Here is a 15,906-nt window from a genome sequence, read left to right on the forward strand (position 1 = left end):
GGGGAGGAAGTGAAAGTTTTGAATCAAGATTTGAAGACAAGTAGGAAATTGATGGACATTATATATTGATGAGCACACCACATTACTCAGTCCTAGTTTTGCAAGTCCACGACTGACACTCATGTTAATTTACTGAGCAGGCCAAGGTTGGGCCTGGAGAATTGAATACAATAACACCAGAACACGGAAAAGACTTTACCCAACATCACTAAATGTCACTCGTCCTGATTTTTATTTTAGTGCCTTTCATTTGTGTTTTCCTATTTCTGAGTGTGTATTTGCCGCACTAAGTACACTTTCTATCTTTTTTCTTTTTATCCTATTTTAATATTTTTCCATTTTAAAATGTTTTTTATATAACTTCATTTGCCATCTCTCTGCAAAGCCATGAACTCTAGGACAGCTGCTGAAAATAAACATGCTTGGGGAGAACAGAGAAAAAGAAGAGCCAGGAACAATTCCACTCAGTGTAGTCCTCCCGTCCTTGTTCCAGGGTAACTCTTGATACATCCCCTTTGCCCATTCATTTCCTCTAACCCACCCTAGGGGTGATGAATGTGATCAGTAATGGTTTGAAGGGAAAATGTTTTTGCCTCTTGTCTTTTCTCCATCTAATCCTGTCTTTGAATTAGTCTGCCATTTACTGAATATGATGTTATTTCCGTGAACTCCTCTTAGGGGGATGCAGGAAACATCCCAAAGAGAAGCTTTGGGATGACTACCTTGAGCTTCCAAATATATAATCCCTCAAATCATACTTGGGATGCCACCAGGATCAAGAAACCGGGACTACGGAGTGACAGCTAGCTCTCTTTCCTCTCTACAAGCCAATAGGAACATAGCTGGGTCCTTTAACTCACTCCCAATGTGTCACCAATTCAGGGAGTCACTTCCTGAAAGCCAACTATGACAACACAACTCCTTGCCTTCTAACCCTGGGGGCCCTTAAGAGAGACCTGAGACTTGCCATTTTTTCTTTGCAGGGTCATCAATCCAGTGCCTTTTGTGACAACTAAATTCACTGGGAAAAAAATTCAAAATGATTTCAGTGGCAGGCAGCTACTGAAATTTTCCAAATGTACTTTTTTAGCTCTCTATTTCCCTTAAGCCATATGATGTCATTTGCCTCTCAGTCCCTGAGTGCCAAAAATTCTGCTTTCATATCTCTGAAATTTGCCAAACTATAAAAACCTCAGATCTCAGTTTGGGTTTTTATCCCCCTCGCCAAAAAGGCAAAAAATTACTTTCCACACTTTCAAAGTAAGAATATCAGTCACACACACACACACACACACACACACACACATAAAAATCTCAGTTCACAAATCCAGTAAGTCTTTTACGGTGTGTCCCCCTGTTTGGACTAATGGGCTGCCCTAATTTTATTCAGAATTTTTACTTCAATAGCTTGTCATCTGCTGCTTCAGGACATACCTAAAAATCCTGACGCTCCCGACTTGACAGGTAACTAGGAGACTGATTTGCAAATGCAGTTTTACTTTGCTTTAGGACGTATTCATTAGTGATTTTTGAAGTTAGAACATTTTCCCACTGATTTGGAAGATTCGTAGATTCTTGTTATGTATTTACCGAAGCTTTTTAGTTCACCTAAGAGAGAGAGAGAGAAAGAGAGAGAGGCAGAGAGAAAGCCTGCTTCCCTTTCTAATTACAGTCCCATTTCCTTAGCAAGTCCTTGAAAAAAGAATTCCCCAAGTCTCTAATCATCTCTCTAGTCGTAATCTCCATAATTGTGTCCCTTCCAGATTCCTTCTTGGCACAGCCCAGAGACTGATTTGCTCCATGTGGTTAAAAACCTTTTATTTTATGCCAGTTAGGACTTGTTTTCACGGCTTGCCTTCTTGGGCCTTAATGCTACATTGGATGCCATTGATCTTCACAGGCTCCTTTTCTATCCCCAGTGAGTGATTGTAGCCCTTGTTTCATCTTCTTAATGGAGGGGTCGACTAAACCTGTCTGACGGGATTCTAACTACAGGGTTCCACTAGGGTACCGCCTCTGCTTCATTTTCTTTTCTCCATTTAGTTGATCAGTTCAATATAAAACCATTATGAAGAGAATTATTTCTGCCATAACATTGCCTCAAATAAAAAATGGGGTTCATTGGTCTTAATTCATCCTTAGACTATTGGTTCTGAACCTTGGACAATTTTACCCCCACTCTTGCCCCCAGGGGACACTTAGCAATGTCTGGAGACATTTTCAGTTGTCACAACTTGGGGGAGAGGCTGCTACCATCATGCAGTAAGTAGAAGCCCAGGGATACTGCTTAACACCCTGAAATGTATGGGACGGCCCCCCAACAAAGAATCATCTGGTCCCAGTGTCAGTAGCAAAGAGGCTGAGAAACCTGCTGTAGACGAAGCATGACCCAACCACCACATAAGCCCAACGATTTTCTCTGATTTCTCTGTGTCCCCGCCTTCTAGGAGACTGCCTGGAGCATGATCATTGTTTGTTGATGAGCCTATGGAACTTAAAAAAAACTCTCCCTCTGGCCAGGCATGGTGGCTCATGCCTGTAATCCCAGGACTTTGGGAGGCCAAGGCAAGCAGATCACGAGGTCAATAGTTCAAGTCCAGCCTGGCCAACATGGTGAAACCTCGACTCTACTAAAAATAAAAAAATTAGCTGGGCATGGTGGTGTAGGCCTGTAATCCCAGCTACTCGGAAGGCTGAGGCAGGAGAATTGCTTGAACCAGGACTGGGGAAGCGGAGGTTGCAGTAAGCCAAGATTGCACCACTGCAATTCAGCCTGGGCTACAGAGCAAGACTCTGTCTCAAACAACAACAACAACAAAACACTGTCCCTTGCTGGAATTCTAACGATTATCCATCTTCAGTAGTAGTAGCAAAGTGTTGCTTACAGTCTAACTGGAATTCTTTGGGCTGCAGGTTAGCCCCTTTCTTCTTTGTTCTGTCCTCACTGGAGGGGGAAACAGCTGCACACACTTTTCTGAGCAATGTGGCAAAGGTCTTCCTTTGAGCCTTGAGATATGTAGTCATGTCCGGGACAAGGGTTTTTCTATTCCTAAGGGCTCCGAGCTCTGTTGTGGGATTCTACCAGCGATCCTCTGGACTGGTGATTAGGTCCTCTTCTAGCTAGATTAAGGTCCCATAAAGGAGGGGGGAAACTCCATCCTAACTGACCCCTGCAAAGGGTCTCTGGCATTGGTGGTATGAGAAAGGCAACGGTGAGCATTACACATAGGTTTAGGAGAGCAGCTCAGGGAGAGCCTCTAAAACCATCCCTAGCTGGGCTCTGGTACAGAAGCTCCTGAAAGGAGCTGTTAATGGAAGGCATCAGTTCGGGGGCATAAGGGACAGGAAAGCAACAGCCACAGCCGCAACAAGCAGAATTGCTAATAGAGATGGCAGGGATGGGGGTAGAGAAGGCGAAGAAGGTGGAGGGGAGGTGGGAAGTGAGGTCCGCATGCAGAAGGAAGCCACGGAGGGCCCAGCAGTGCCGCAGCTGGGTGAGATTATTGTCCAGTACTATTCAACCAGCTCTCTTAGAAGCACTTGGAAACATCCCAGCTTTCTTACCTGTGGAGTCCACACCCACACGGACCCCCGTTATGCAGGCTCTGTGGAGCACTCAACACCCAACTCTAGTATCATATTGGGATCTCTGAGTTTTACAAAATTATTAGGCCACCAAACATCTTATAAGAACATGAATGTCTTTTTGAGACATATGATCGCTAAACCTGTAGCGTTCATTTTTCCTTTGCTAATTACCATTGAGTATAACCCCTAACAGGAGAGAGAGCTTATAAAGATAAAAACCATATATATATGTGTGTACATACATATATGTGTGTATATACACACATATATATACATATATATACATGTATATACACACACACATATATATATATATATATGGTAGTTTCTGCACCAAACACTTCACCAGACCAGCCATTAGATAAGCAGATTGTCTGGTCTGGGCTCCACGCCCTTTTATATACCCCGATCACTCTCTAAAGAAGTTCTAGTGAGTAATGAAAAGGACTGATCCTGAGCTGCTGGTTCGAATTCTCTACTTCCATTGCAAGAAACCATCCCGAGTAATTTCCCGTTCTGGTTGCTGTTTTCACTGGGTCTCTTTCTTCACATGGAATTTCCTCGTGTGCTTAGGAATTTTATGTGGGAAGTTACCTGTTAGTCTTTCTCCTTCCCCACCCCACTTCTCTCTCTCTCTTTCCTCCTCTCTTCTTTTTTATTACCCATTCCTCCACTCCCTGTCTGAAACTTTTCTGGTCACTTCTCATCTTCCTCTCATCCCACCTGCGACCTCACAGATAGTTCTTTTGAAATTTCTGGGTGATGCTGGGGCTATCCCAGATCCAGTCTCCAGTCCAGCCAAACACCCAACTCTTTCCTTGGCCATAAGGTCACTCTCTGGTCCTGCTGCAGTCTGCTGCTTAGTGCTATAGGGCCAGGCACCAGATCCTAGTTTGGCAGGTACCATTTTGTCCAGAGTCATCTCTTGGGCATGGGAATGGGAGCAAGTGGCAGCAACAGATCCACCCAGCCCTAAGTTTGTGTTTGTTTGGTTTTTTTTTTTTTTTTTTTTTTTTTTTTTTTTTTTTTTTTGCAAGGGGGTGGTATTTGAGACAAGGTCTTGCTCTCTCACCCAGGCTGGAGTGCAGTGGTGTGATCATAGCTCACTGCAGCCTTAAACTCCCGGGATCAAGCGATCCTCTTATCTCAGCCTCCTGAGTAGCTGGAACTACAGGCATGCACTACCAAGCTCGGCTACTTTTTAAATTTTGCATAGAGATGGGTGTATGTTTCCAAGCTGGTCTGGAACTTCTGGGCTCAAGCAATCCTCCTGCCTTGGCCTCCTGAGGTGCTGGAATTACAGGTGCAAGCCCTAAGTTTTAATTTATGAGTCTGGTTTATGTGGCTTGTCTCTCAAGGAGCATGTTTAGATGTCATTTCCCACAGAAGTTAAACCCTCAGCCACCAGTCCCCTCTGCTGACTTCCAGACTGGTAGGCCGACCCCACTCTGCCCCTTAAATTTTCTGAGCACAGCTATTTATTTTCTATGTTTCTTTTTTTAATGCTTTAACTTGCATTGCTGAGTATTGGGAAAGAAAGGATACTCTGGAGCATGAACCCTGATGCCATCTTGAGAGGAAGACTTTCCTGAAGGCTTAATTTTATATTGATATTTATTTTTTCCACTTATAAGGATGATGGATATTCATCGTGGAAAATGTGGGAAGCTGAAAATTATAACTCTGAAATAACCACTGTTAATATGTTAGTACATTTCTTTTAAACCTTTGGCTCTATAAATGTATATGCACAAACACACACACTCATACACTTACAAAATTGATTCACAGTGTACCTTCAGTTTGGTCTTCTGCTTTTATTTTATTACCAATTATTGTTTTTCATGTATTCTGAATACAATACATACTCACTGTCGAAAATTCATTAAACACAGAAGTAGGAAAGGTATATCATCTCTAATTTTACCATCCAGTGGTAACCACTGTGAAAATGAAGTATTTCATTCTATGAATTTTGAGAAATTTGAATAAAATATATAATATTGCACAATGCTTTTTTACTTAACATGATATCATGGGCACTTTTACAGATCATCAAAATGTGATTTACAGTGACCACACAGCTCTAATTTTGTGGGGTTTTCCCCATGAATAAAGGTCAGAATATATAACCTATGCATTTTGTAATTTTTTGTAACTTAGTTTTGAAAATCTACTCATCAACCTTCAAAAAGAATATGTATTCTCAGCTTAATTTCCAATCATTATTTCAGTCTCATTAAGTATATCTTACAAATTTTTGATGCCGTTATTACTTTTTTAATCTCCATGATCTTTGAAGGCTTGGAAATTGTGTTAAAGGCTCACACAGCAGTCTTGCAACCAATTTACCTTTGTTCTAAGAACTTTTGGTTGATGTATTTAGTTTAGGTAGATAGCTCTTAAAAGACCATTTTCCTAGTTCATTGCATCTTTTATAAAAATAAAAAATCCTCTTTGGTTTAATGATTGCGCCTTAATTTCTATTTTGTCTGATGTTAATTCTGCGGCCACATATTGCTTTCCTTCATTGTTTCCCTGAAATATATTTGACAAACATTTAATTGTAAACATTTTTTTTGTTGGTTATTTATTGAGGAGTGACTTGGAACCAGGTGATAGAGAGATTTGATTTTACTTAAAAACAATCTTTATCCTCTGCTTATTGTCATGCATGATACATGTGGACTTATTATCATTTTATTGTTATCATCATCAGATATTTCTTTTGTTGTCTGCTGTTAGACATTTTTCTGGCTTTTCCTTCTGAAGTAGTTTGGCAAGTATGTATCTTATTTATGATTCTATTAATAGTTACATTTGTGGTTTCACAAACTTTGTTAGAGATAGCGTTCAGTGACAGAGACCGGGTCTAGAACATTGTCTAGAGTAGCTTTACCACATGGGGACTGACTGTTCTCACATAAGAGGAAGTGGGGACAGAGGAACGCAGGGTCACAGCTGTTCCCCAGGGTCACCCTGTGGCCCAAGCTCTTTCTCTTTCTCTGCTTTGTCATCCTAAGAGTAAAACTTGCATCTCATGGAGGCCTCAGTGTCCCAAAAGACAGAGGACTGCATCTTGGGCCTCCATCTACATTCCAAACAGGAAGAAAGGTGAAGAGGAGGGTGGAAGTTGGCGAGAGTGCACAACAGGAGGGAAGAGACAATGATCTGGATCTGGGTAGTGAAACTTCCCTGGAACCTCCAGCCAGCTTCCTCCCTACATCTTCTCACTGACTACAATCATGTCACATGGCCATCTCTAGCTGCAAGAAAGCTGAGAAATAGACAATTTGTACTGAGCGGTTTGCCATCCTGAACAAGACTGAGTTTTGGTTAGTAAGAAAGAATATATTTTAGTCAAATAATTAGAAACGCTTGCCATTATTTCAAAGATTGTCAAAGATAAGAGCAAAACTGTGTTTTGCCTGTCTGCAGCTTCTGCTCTCCCAACCCCACTCCTGCACAACTGCATTTTAACTGTGTATTTGTGAATTTAAATACATTTTAAATCCATTTTCTTACTAAATTATAGTTTTAGATTATAGGACGTTTCTTTCGAAAGTTTCAAAATCACATTCAGCTTTTAAAACACATTTGAGCATTAAATTTATTACTTAAATTTATAATTATTTTCTCTGTTTACTTCAGATTCTTATATATCATAAAATTGTCTTTTTTATACTTTGAATTTTGAGTTTTATGGGGTTTTTTAATAATTTTCTAAAGTATGTGTTCAAGTGATTTTGGAAAATATGTGTTAAGTGGTATGTGTTCTGGGCTCTTGCATGTTAGCAATTCTCTTCCTAATTCAACATTCCAGAGCCTAACTTGTGGGTAACATTTGAAAATAGTTGCCATTACAAAAAGCATTAAAAAGTGGGCAAAGGACATGAACAGACACTTTTCAAAAGAGGAGGACGTACACGCGGAACAACAAACATATTTTTAAAAGTTCAATGTCACTGACTATTAGATAAGTAATACAAGTCAGAACCACAATGAGATACCATCGAACACCAGTCAAAATGGCTATTATTAAAAAAAATCAAAAATAACAGACGCTGGCGAGGTTGTGGAGAAAAGGGAACACTTATACACTGTTGGTGGGAGTGTAAATTAGTTCAACCATTGTGGAAAGCAATATGGTGATTCCTCAAAGAGCTGCAAAAGGAACTACCATTTGGCCCAGCAATCCCATTACTAAATATATACCCAAAGGAACATAACTCATTCTATCACAAAGATACGTGCACACGAATGTTCACTGCAGCACTAGTCACAATAGCAAAGACATGGAATCACCCTAAATGCCCATCAGTAGTAGACTGGATAAGGAAAATGTGGTACCTCTACACCATGGAATACTATACAGCCATAAAAAAGAATGAGATTGTGTCTTTTGAGGGAACATGCATGGAGCTGGAGGCCATTATCCTTAGCAAACTAACACAGGAAAAGAAAACCAAATACCATGTGTTCTCACTTATAAGTGGGAGATACATGATGAGAACTCATGAACACAAAGAAGAGAACAACAGACTGGGGCCTCCTTGAGGGTGGTGGTGGGGAGAGGAGAAAGAGGAGTTGAAAAAATTACTATTGGGTACTAGGCTTAGTATCTGGGAGAGGAAATAATCTGTACAACAAACCTCCATGACACAAATTTACCTGTACAAAAAGCCTGTACATGTACCTCCTAATCTAAAATACAAGTTAAAAAATAAATAAAATAAATACAAATAAATGAACTCACTTAGGCTCCTCATCACTTTATAACCAAAAAGTAACTTGCTCTTCTCTTAAGACCATAGCCAACAATGTTTGAATTTCCAAAACAAAACAAAACATAATTCTGAAAGCACTGACAAACAGCACAGATCTTAACTGAACTTAATATGAAGGCAGGAGCCACACTGCACACCACTCAACAAGACTTCTACAAATGTATTTCTCCCTTGCACTCACTCTTTCCTTAAAGTTTCATGCTTTATAGCAGGTACCATGTCACCTCTCTTGCTGCATCTTTGGCCCTCCTTGAACATTTGGCTTTCTGTTGCTCTCTCCCACAGTCTCTGAAATCTGTCCATTTACTTTTTATCTTTATTTTTAATTTACTCTTTTTTGGCACACGGTTTGTGTATTTTGTCAAATGCATAGAATTGTGTAACCCTCGCCCCAAATAGGATACAGGAAACATCACCTCAAAGGTTCCTCACGCTTGCCCCTTTGTAATCCAACCCTCTCTTCCCCTGACCCCTGGCAGCCACTGATTGGTTATTTCTACCATTTTGGTTTTTTTCCCTCCTTCTCTATCATTTTGGAATCACACACTATATAGATATTTGAATCTGGCTTTTTTCATTGGCATAATACATTTCAGATTCATCCAAGTTGTTGCATATATCTATAGTTTGTTCCTTTTTGTTTCTGAGTAATATTTCATTGCTCGGACACACCACAGTGTGTTTATTCATTGGCCAGTGTAGTGAGTGAAATTATGTCTCCAAAAAAGACATATCCAAGTCTTACTCCCCTTTATCTGTAAATGTTTTCTTATTTCAAAACAGCATCTTGGCAGATGTAATCAAGTTCAAATGAGACCATGCTGGCTTAGAGGGGGCCCTAAATCCAATGGCTGATATCTTTATCAGAGAAAGGAGAAAGAGATTTAGATACAGAGACATGAAAGAGACACAGGGAAGAAAGCCATGTGAGGATGGAGATAGAGATTGGAGTGAGGCATCTGCAAGCCAACGAACACTAGGGATTGTGGGAAGCCATCGGAAGGGAGGAAGAGGCAAGTAAGGATTTTTCCCTAGCACCTTTAAAGGAAGCATGGCTCTGCCAACACTTTACTTTTGGATTTCTAGCCTCCAGAACTGTGAGAAAATTAATTTCTGCTGTTTTAAGCCTCCAAATTTGTGATTTTTTTTTTTACAGCAGCCCTAGGAAACTAATGAAACCAAATGAAGGATATTTGGGTTATTTATAATTTGGGGAATAAATTATGAATAAAGTTGTGATAAAAATTCATGTACAGGTTTTTGTGTGACCGTAGGTTTTCATTTCTCTAGAGTAAAATAGGAGCGAGACTGCTAGACTGTATGTTAAACACATGTTTAAGTTCATTTAAAAAACTGCCATGCGGATCACGAGGTCAAGAGATCGAGACCATCCTGGCTAATACAGTGAAACCTGTCTCTACTAAAACTACAAAAAATTATCAGGGCGTGGTGGCGGGTGCCTGTAGTCCCAGCTACTCGGGAGGCTGAGGCAGGAGAATGGCATGAACCTGGTGGGCGGAGCTTGCAGTGAGCTCAGATAGCGCCACTGTACTCCTGCCTAGACGACAGAGCGAGACTCCATCTCAAAAAAAAAAAAAAAAAAAACTGCCATGCTCTTCACCAAAGCAGCTCTACTGTTTTGCGCTTCTTCTAGCAATGAATAAAAATTTGAGTTGCCCTTCATCCTCACCAGTACTTGTTTTTATCAGATTCTTTCATTTGTTTTTTAAAAATTTTCGCCATTCTTATAGTTGTGTGGTGGTATCTCATTGTGGTTTAATTTATATTACCTTAATGACTAATTGTATTAGTCTATTTTTACATTGCTAAAAAACACATACCCGAGACTTCATAACTTATAAAGAAAAAGAGGTTTAATGGACTCACAGTCCCACATGGCTGGGGAGGCCTCACAATCATGGTGGAAGGCAAAGGAGGAGCAAAGGCACTTCTTACATGGCAGCAGGAAAAGCGAATGAGTTACCAGCAGGGAAAATGCCAGACGCTTATAAAACCATCAGGTCTTGTGAGAACTCACTCATTATCATGAGAACAGTATGGGAGGAAACTGCCCCATGATTCAATTATCTCCACCTGGCCGCACCCTTGACACATGGGAATTATTACAATTCGAGGACAGACTTGGGTGGGGACACAGAGCCAAACCATATCACTAATGATGTAGAACATTTTTTCAGGTCCTTAAATGCCATCCATATATTTTCTTTGGTTAAATGTGTCTACAAATACTTTGCCCATTTTTAATTAAATTGTTGGCTTTCTTATTGCTGAGATTTTAGAAATTATCATTTATTCCCACATGTGCTTTATCAGATATATATTTTACAAATATCTTCTCCTAATCTTTGTCTAGTCTTTTATTACTGTCTTTTTAAAAGCAAAATTGTTAATTTTGATAAAGTCCAATTTATCATTTTTTTACGAACCAGATTTTTGGCATCATATGAAAGGACTATTTGTTGGATCTAAGATCACAAAGATATTCTCCTATGTTTTACTCTAAAGTTTTAAATTTTCATTTACATTTTATACTTACATTTAGTTCTCTGATACATTTTGACTTATTTTGTATAATGTATGAGATATAAATTCTAGTTTACTTTTATGCATGTGGTTATCTAATTAGTCTAGCATCATTTATTGAAAATATTATGGTTTCTTCATTGAATTCCCTTTGTCCTTTGTCAAAAATCAATTGAACACATTTGTGTAAATTTACACGTAGACTCACTATTCCAGTAATCTATGTGTTACTTTTTAATATGTCTTCAAACTAGATAGTGTAACTCCTCCGATATTTACTCTTCTCTTCCAGTATTATTTTGTGTGTTCTAGTTCCTGTGATTTCCATGTAAACTTTATTATATTTTTTATTTTAGATTCGGAGGGCACATGTGCTTGTTTGCTGCATGGGTACATTGCATATTGGTAGGGACCGGGCATCTGGTATACCTATTAGCCAAATAGTGAACATTGTACCTGGTAGGTAATTTTTTAACCCACATAAACTCTAAAATTACCTTTTGATATATAAAAATGTGACTTTTTATTGAGATTATGTTGAATCTATATATGAGTTTTGAGTGAATTGACATTTTAACAATATTGAATTTTTCAATCTATGAACACAATATACATCTCCATTTATTAAGGTCTTATTTGATTACTTTCATCAGCATTTCTTATTTGATTACTTTCATCAGCATTTTATAGTTTTCTGAATATAGGTCCTGCATATATTTTGTTAGATTAATACTTATTTCATATTTTCTTGGAGCTATTGAAAATGGCATGTTTTATAAATTTTGATTTTCCATTGTTCATTGGAAGTATATAGAAATACTATTGATCTTCATGCTTGAATCCTGTATACTTGCTAAAATCATTTACTAGTTCTAGGAGTTTTTGTAGGTTCTTTGAGATTTCCCATGTAGACAATCATGTTGTCTACAAATAAATAGTTTTATTTTCTTACCAATATTTGTGCTTTTTATTTCTTTATCCTGTGTTATTGTGTTGACTAAGACTGCTAGTAGGATGATGAATAGAATTGGTAAGAGCAGAAATCCTTGCCTTGTTCCTGAAATTAGGGGAAAAGCATTCAGTCTTTCACAAATTAGAATGATACTAGCTATAGCTTTTTGTGGATGCTCTTTATTAAGTTAAAGAAGTTCTCTGTATTCCTACTTTGCTGAAAGCTTTTGTCATAAACTAATATCGACTTTTGTCATATACTTTTCTGCATCTATTGAGATGATCATAAAGTTTTTTTCTTTTTTTTATTTGAGACAGAGTCTGGCTCTGTTGCCCAGGCTGGAGTGCAGTGGTGCGATGTCGGCTCACTGCAAGCTCTGCCTCCCAGGTTCACGCCATTTTCCTGCCTCAGCCTCCCGAGTAGCTGGGACTACAGGCACCTGCCACCACTCCTGGCTAATTTTTTTGTATTTTTAGTAGAGACAGGGTTTCACTATGTTAGCCAGGATGGTCTCGATCTCCTGACCTCGTGATCCGCCCACCTTGGCCTCCCAAAGTGCTGGGATTACAGGCGTGAGCCACTGCGCCCGGCCAAAGTTTTTGTCTTTCATCTGTTAATATGGCAAATTACATTGACTGATTTTATAATATTAGAGAAGCTTTTTACTACTAGGATAAACCCCCATTATTTGGGATGTAGAATGCTTTCTACATATTGTAGAATTCAATTTGCTCATATTTTCTTAAGAAATTATGCATTTTTATTCACGAGATATATTGTTCTGTAATTCTTTTCACTTGTGAAATCTTTCTCTGGTTTTAGTAATTGTAATGTTAATCTCGTAAGTGAGTTGAAAATTGCTCTCATCTTTTTCATGGAAGATATTGCATATAATTGGTATTATTTCTTCCTTAAGTGTTTATAGGATTCACTAGTGAAATCAGTCAAGGGTAGAGTCAATGGTGAAAGACCTGGTCCGAGTCCAAAGGCCTGAGAACCAGGAATGCCAATGTCTGAGGGCAGGAGAAGACAGATATCCCAGATCAACAGAGAGCAAACTTGCCCTTTCTTCACATTTTTGTTCTCTTCAGGCCCTCAATAGATTAGAAGATGTCCAGCCACATTGGTGAGGACAATCTTCTTTACTAAGTTGCTTCAAATGCTAATGTCTTTTGGAAACACCCTCATAGATACACCCAGAAATAATATTTTGCCAGTTATCTGGGCAAACTTCAGCCCAGTCAAATTGACACACTAAAATTAACCATCACAATTGTTAACTTATTATTCTTTTAATGATTTCACTTTTCTATCTGATTGTGATAATTTGGATATTCTCTTTTCTTTCCCCTTGGTCCATATGGCTAGGAATTTATCACTTTTTTTTTTACAACGTTTCTTTCAGTTTCTCTATTATTTATGTTTTCAATTTCATTATTTTTTAAAAATCTATTATTTTCTTTATTATGCTTTATGATGGTTTAATTTGCTTTGTTTTTATTGTCTAAAGTAGAAGTTTAGATTATTTATTTCAGATAAGTTTTCTAATACAAGCATACAGAACACTTGTAAGTGACTCATACGTCTAAGAGTCTTAAGGAAAATTAGGAAGTGTCTTGAACCAAATGAAAATGAAAATGTATAATGTGTATACATTTTCATTTTCAAATCAAAATTTGTGGGATGCAGCTGAAGTAGTGCTTAGAGGGAAATTCGTAACAGTAAATGCTTTTGGATGTATACCAATAAGTGGGATTGCTGGATCATATGGTAGTTCTATTTTTAATATTTTTCAAGAAGATTCATACTGTTTTCTATAGCTTTACCATTTTACATTTCTGCCAACAGTGTACCAGAGTTCCAATTTCTCTATATCCTTGCCAACACTTATCTTTTTTTAAATAATAGCATCCTAACAAATGTGAGGTGATATGTCATTGTAGTTCTAATTTGAATTTCCCTGATAATGATGTTGAGCACCTTTTCATATATCTGTTGGTCATTAGTATGTCTTCTTCGGAGAAATGTCTGTTCAAGGCCTTTGCCCAATTTTAAGATGGGTCATTTGGGTATTATGCTATTATTAATAACTTGTATGAGTATCTTCTAAATTTTGGAAATTAACTTCTTATCATATATATGGTTTGCATGTATTTTCTCCCATTCTGTAGGTTGCCTTTTCATTCTGATGGTTGTTTCCTTTACTGTGCACAAACTTTTCAGTTTGTTGTAATCCCACTTGTCTAGTTTCCCTATTGTTGCCTATGCTTTTAGTGTCAAGAAATCATTGCCAAGACCAATGCCAAGCAGCTTTTCCCCTATTTTTTGGTAGGAGTTTTATAGTCTCTGGTCTTACAATTAAGTCTTTGATCCATTTTGAGCTGATTCTGTTCAGAGAAAAATTCCAGATTCAGGTATATAAAATCCTCCTGCCTCAACCCCCACAAGTAGCTAGGACAGGCGTGCACCACCACATCCAGCTAATTTTATGGTATAAGGTAGGTATACAATTTCTTTTGCCTGTTTTTGTTGTTGTTGTTTTCTTTTCTTTTCTCTCACATGTTGATATTCACTTTCTTCAGTGCCAGATGTTGAAACTGTCTTTCCTTCATTACGTAGTCTTGGAAACTTTGTCATAAATTGGCTCTTTTAGTTTGTAATGCCCTTCTTTATTCCAGGAATTTTTTTATTTGAATTTTTCTTCATCTGATATTAATATAGGACCTCTTCCTTTCTTTTGATTAGTTTTTTCAAGGCATATCATTTTCCATCTTTTTTCTTGTCTATAAAATTGTATTTTTTTTATAGGTATGTTGATTTGGGTTTTTGTGGGGGGGGTTTTGTTTGTTTGTTTGAGGCAGGGTCTCACTCTGTTGCCCAGGCTGGTGTGCAGTGGCATGATCTTGGATCACTGCAATCTCCGCCTCCTGGGTTAAAGTGATCCTCCTGCCTCAGCCCCCACAAGTAGCTAGGACAGGTGTGTGCTACCACACCTGGCTACCTTTTGTATTTTTTGTAGAGATGGGGTTTAACCTTGTTGCCCAGGCTGGTCTTAAACTCCTGAGCTCAAGCAATCCATCTGCTTCAGCCTCCCAAAGTGCTAGGATTACAGGCATGAGCCAATGTACCTGGCCTATTGTGGGTATGCTGAAAATTTTATATATCTGAATCTGGAATTTTTCTCTAATTGAACAATTGATGTTTTTTAATTTGGTTTAAACAATATTATATTTATTGAAATTATTGACATATTTGAACTTAAATCAATATTTTATTTTTTGTTTTTCTTTAGTATACTTTGGTTTCGTTGCCTGACTCACCTTTTTTTCTGTCTGCTTTTGGGTTATTTGAATATTTTTAGCTTTTTCTCTTATCTAGTGGATTTGGGGATCTACTTTTTTGTGCTATTTCTTTAGTTGTTTCTCTTTCACAATTAACTTAGAGTTAATATTTTACCACGTACAGCCATATAGGTCCCTTTTTCTTCTTCCCTTTGTGCTATACTTGTCATATGTATTACAGTTACAGGCATTTAAAACCACAGGACAAATATTGTAGGTTTTGTTCTAAATATTCATACATAGTTTAACTCAAAATAATACCCTATTTTATTTACCCAGATATTTACCAATTCTGTTGCTCTCTTTTTTTCACTCCTGATGTTCCTTTTTCCCTCTAATATTATTTACTTTTCACCATGAAGAAATTCCTTTAGTTGCTGATAATGTCTTTATTTCACCTTCATTTATAAAAGAGTTTTCCTGAATATAACATTCTGGGTTGAAAGTTCATTTTGTTTCTACTTTAAAGGTGGTGTTCCACTGTCTTCTGAGTTTCATGTTTTCTTTTTTTTTTCTTTTTTTTTTTTTTTTTCTCCTTGAGATAGAGTCTTGCTCTGTCTTCCAGGCTGGAGTGCAGTGGCGTGATCTTGTGCAACCACCACCTCCTGGGCTCAAGCGATTCTCCTTCATCAGCCTCCCAAGTAGCTGGGACTACAGGTGTGCACCACCATGCCCGGCTAATTTTTGTATTTTT

The 15,906-nt window shown here is 38.1% G+C and overlaps 1 long non-coding RNA gene across 1 annotated transcript in view; it reads right to left on the reverse strand.

The window, feature by feature from the left end:
• LOC101928923 (uncharacterized) overlaps positions 1 to 15,906 on the reverse strand; it is a 487,547-nt gene that overhangs the window by 316,172 nt on the left and 155,469 nt on the right. The gene's annotated exons all lie outside the window — the stretch shown is intronic.

This window comes from Homo sapiens, chromosome 6 (genome assembly GCF_000001405.40).
Source record: "Homo sapiens chromosome 6, GRCh38.p14 Primary Assembly".
Taxonomy (NCBI): domain Eukaryota; kingdom Metazoa; phylum Chordata; class Mammalia; order Primates; family Hominidae; genus Homo; species Homo sapiens.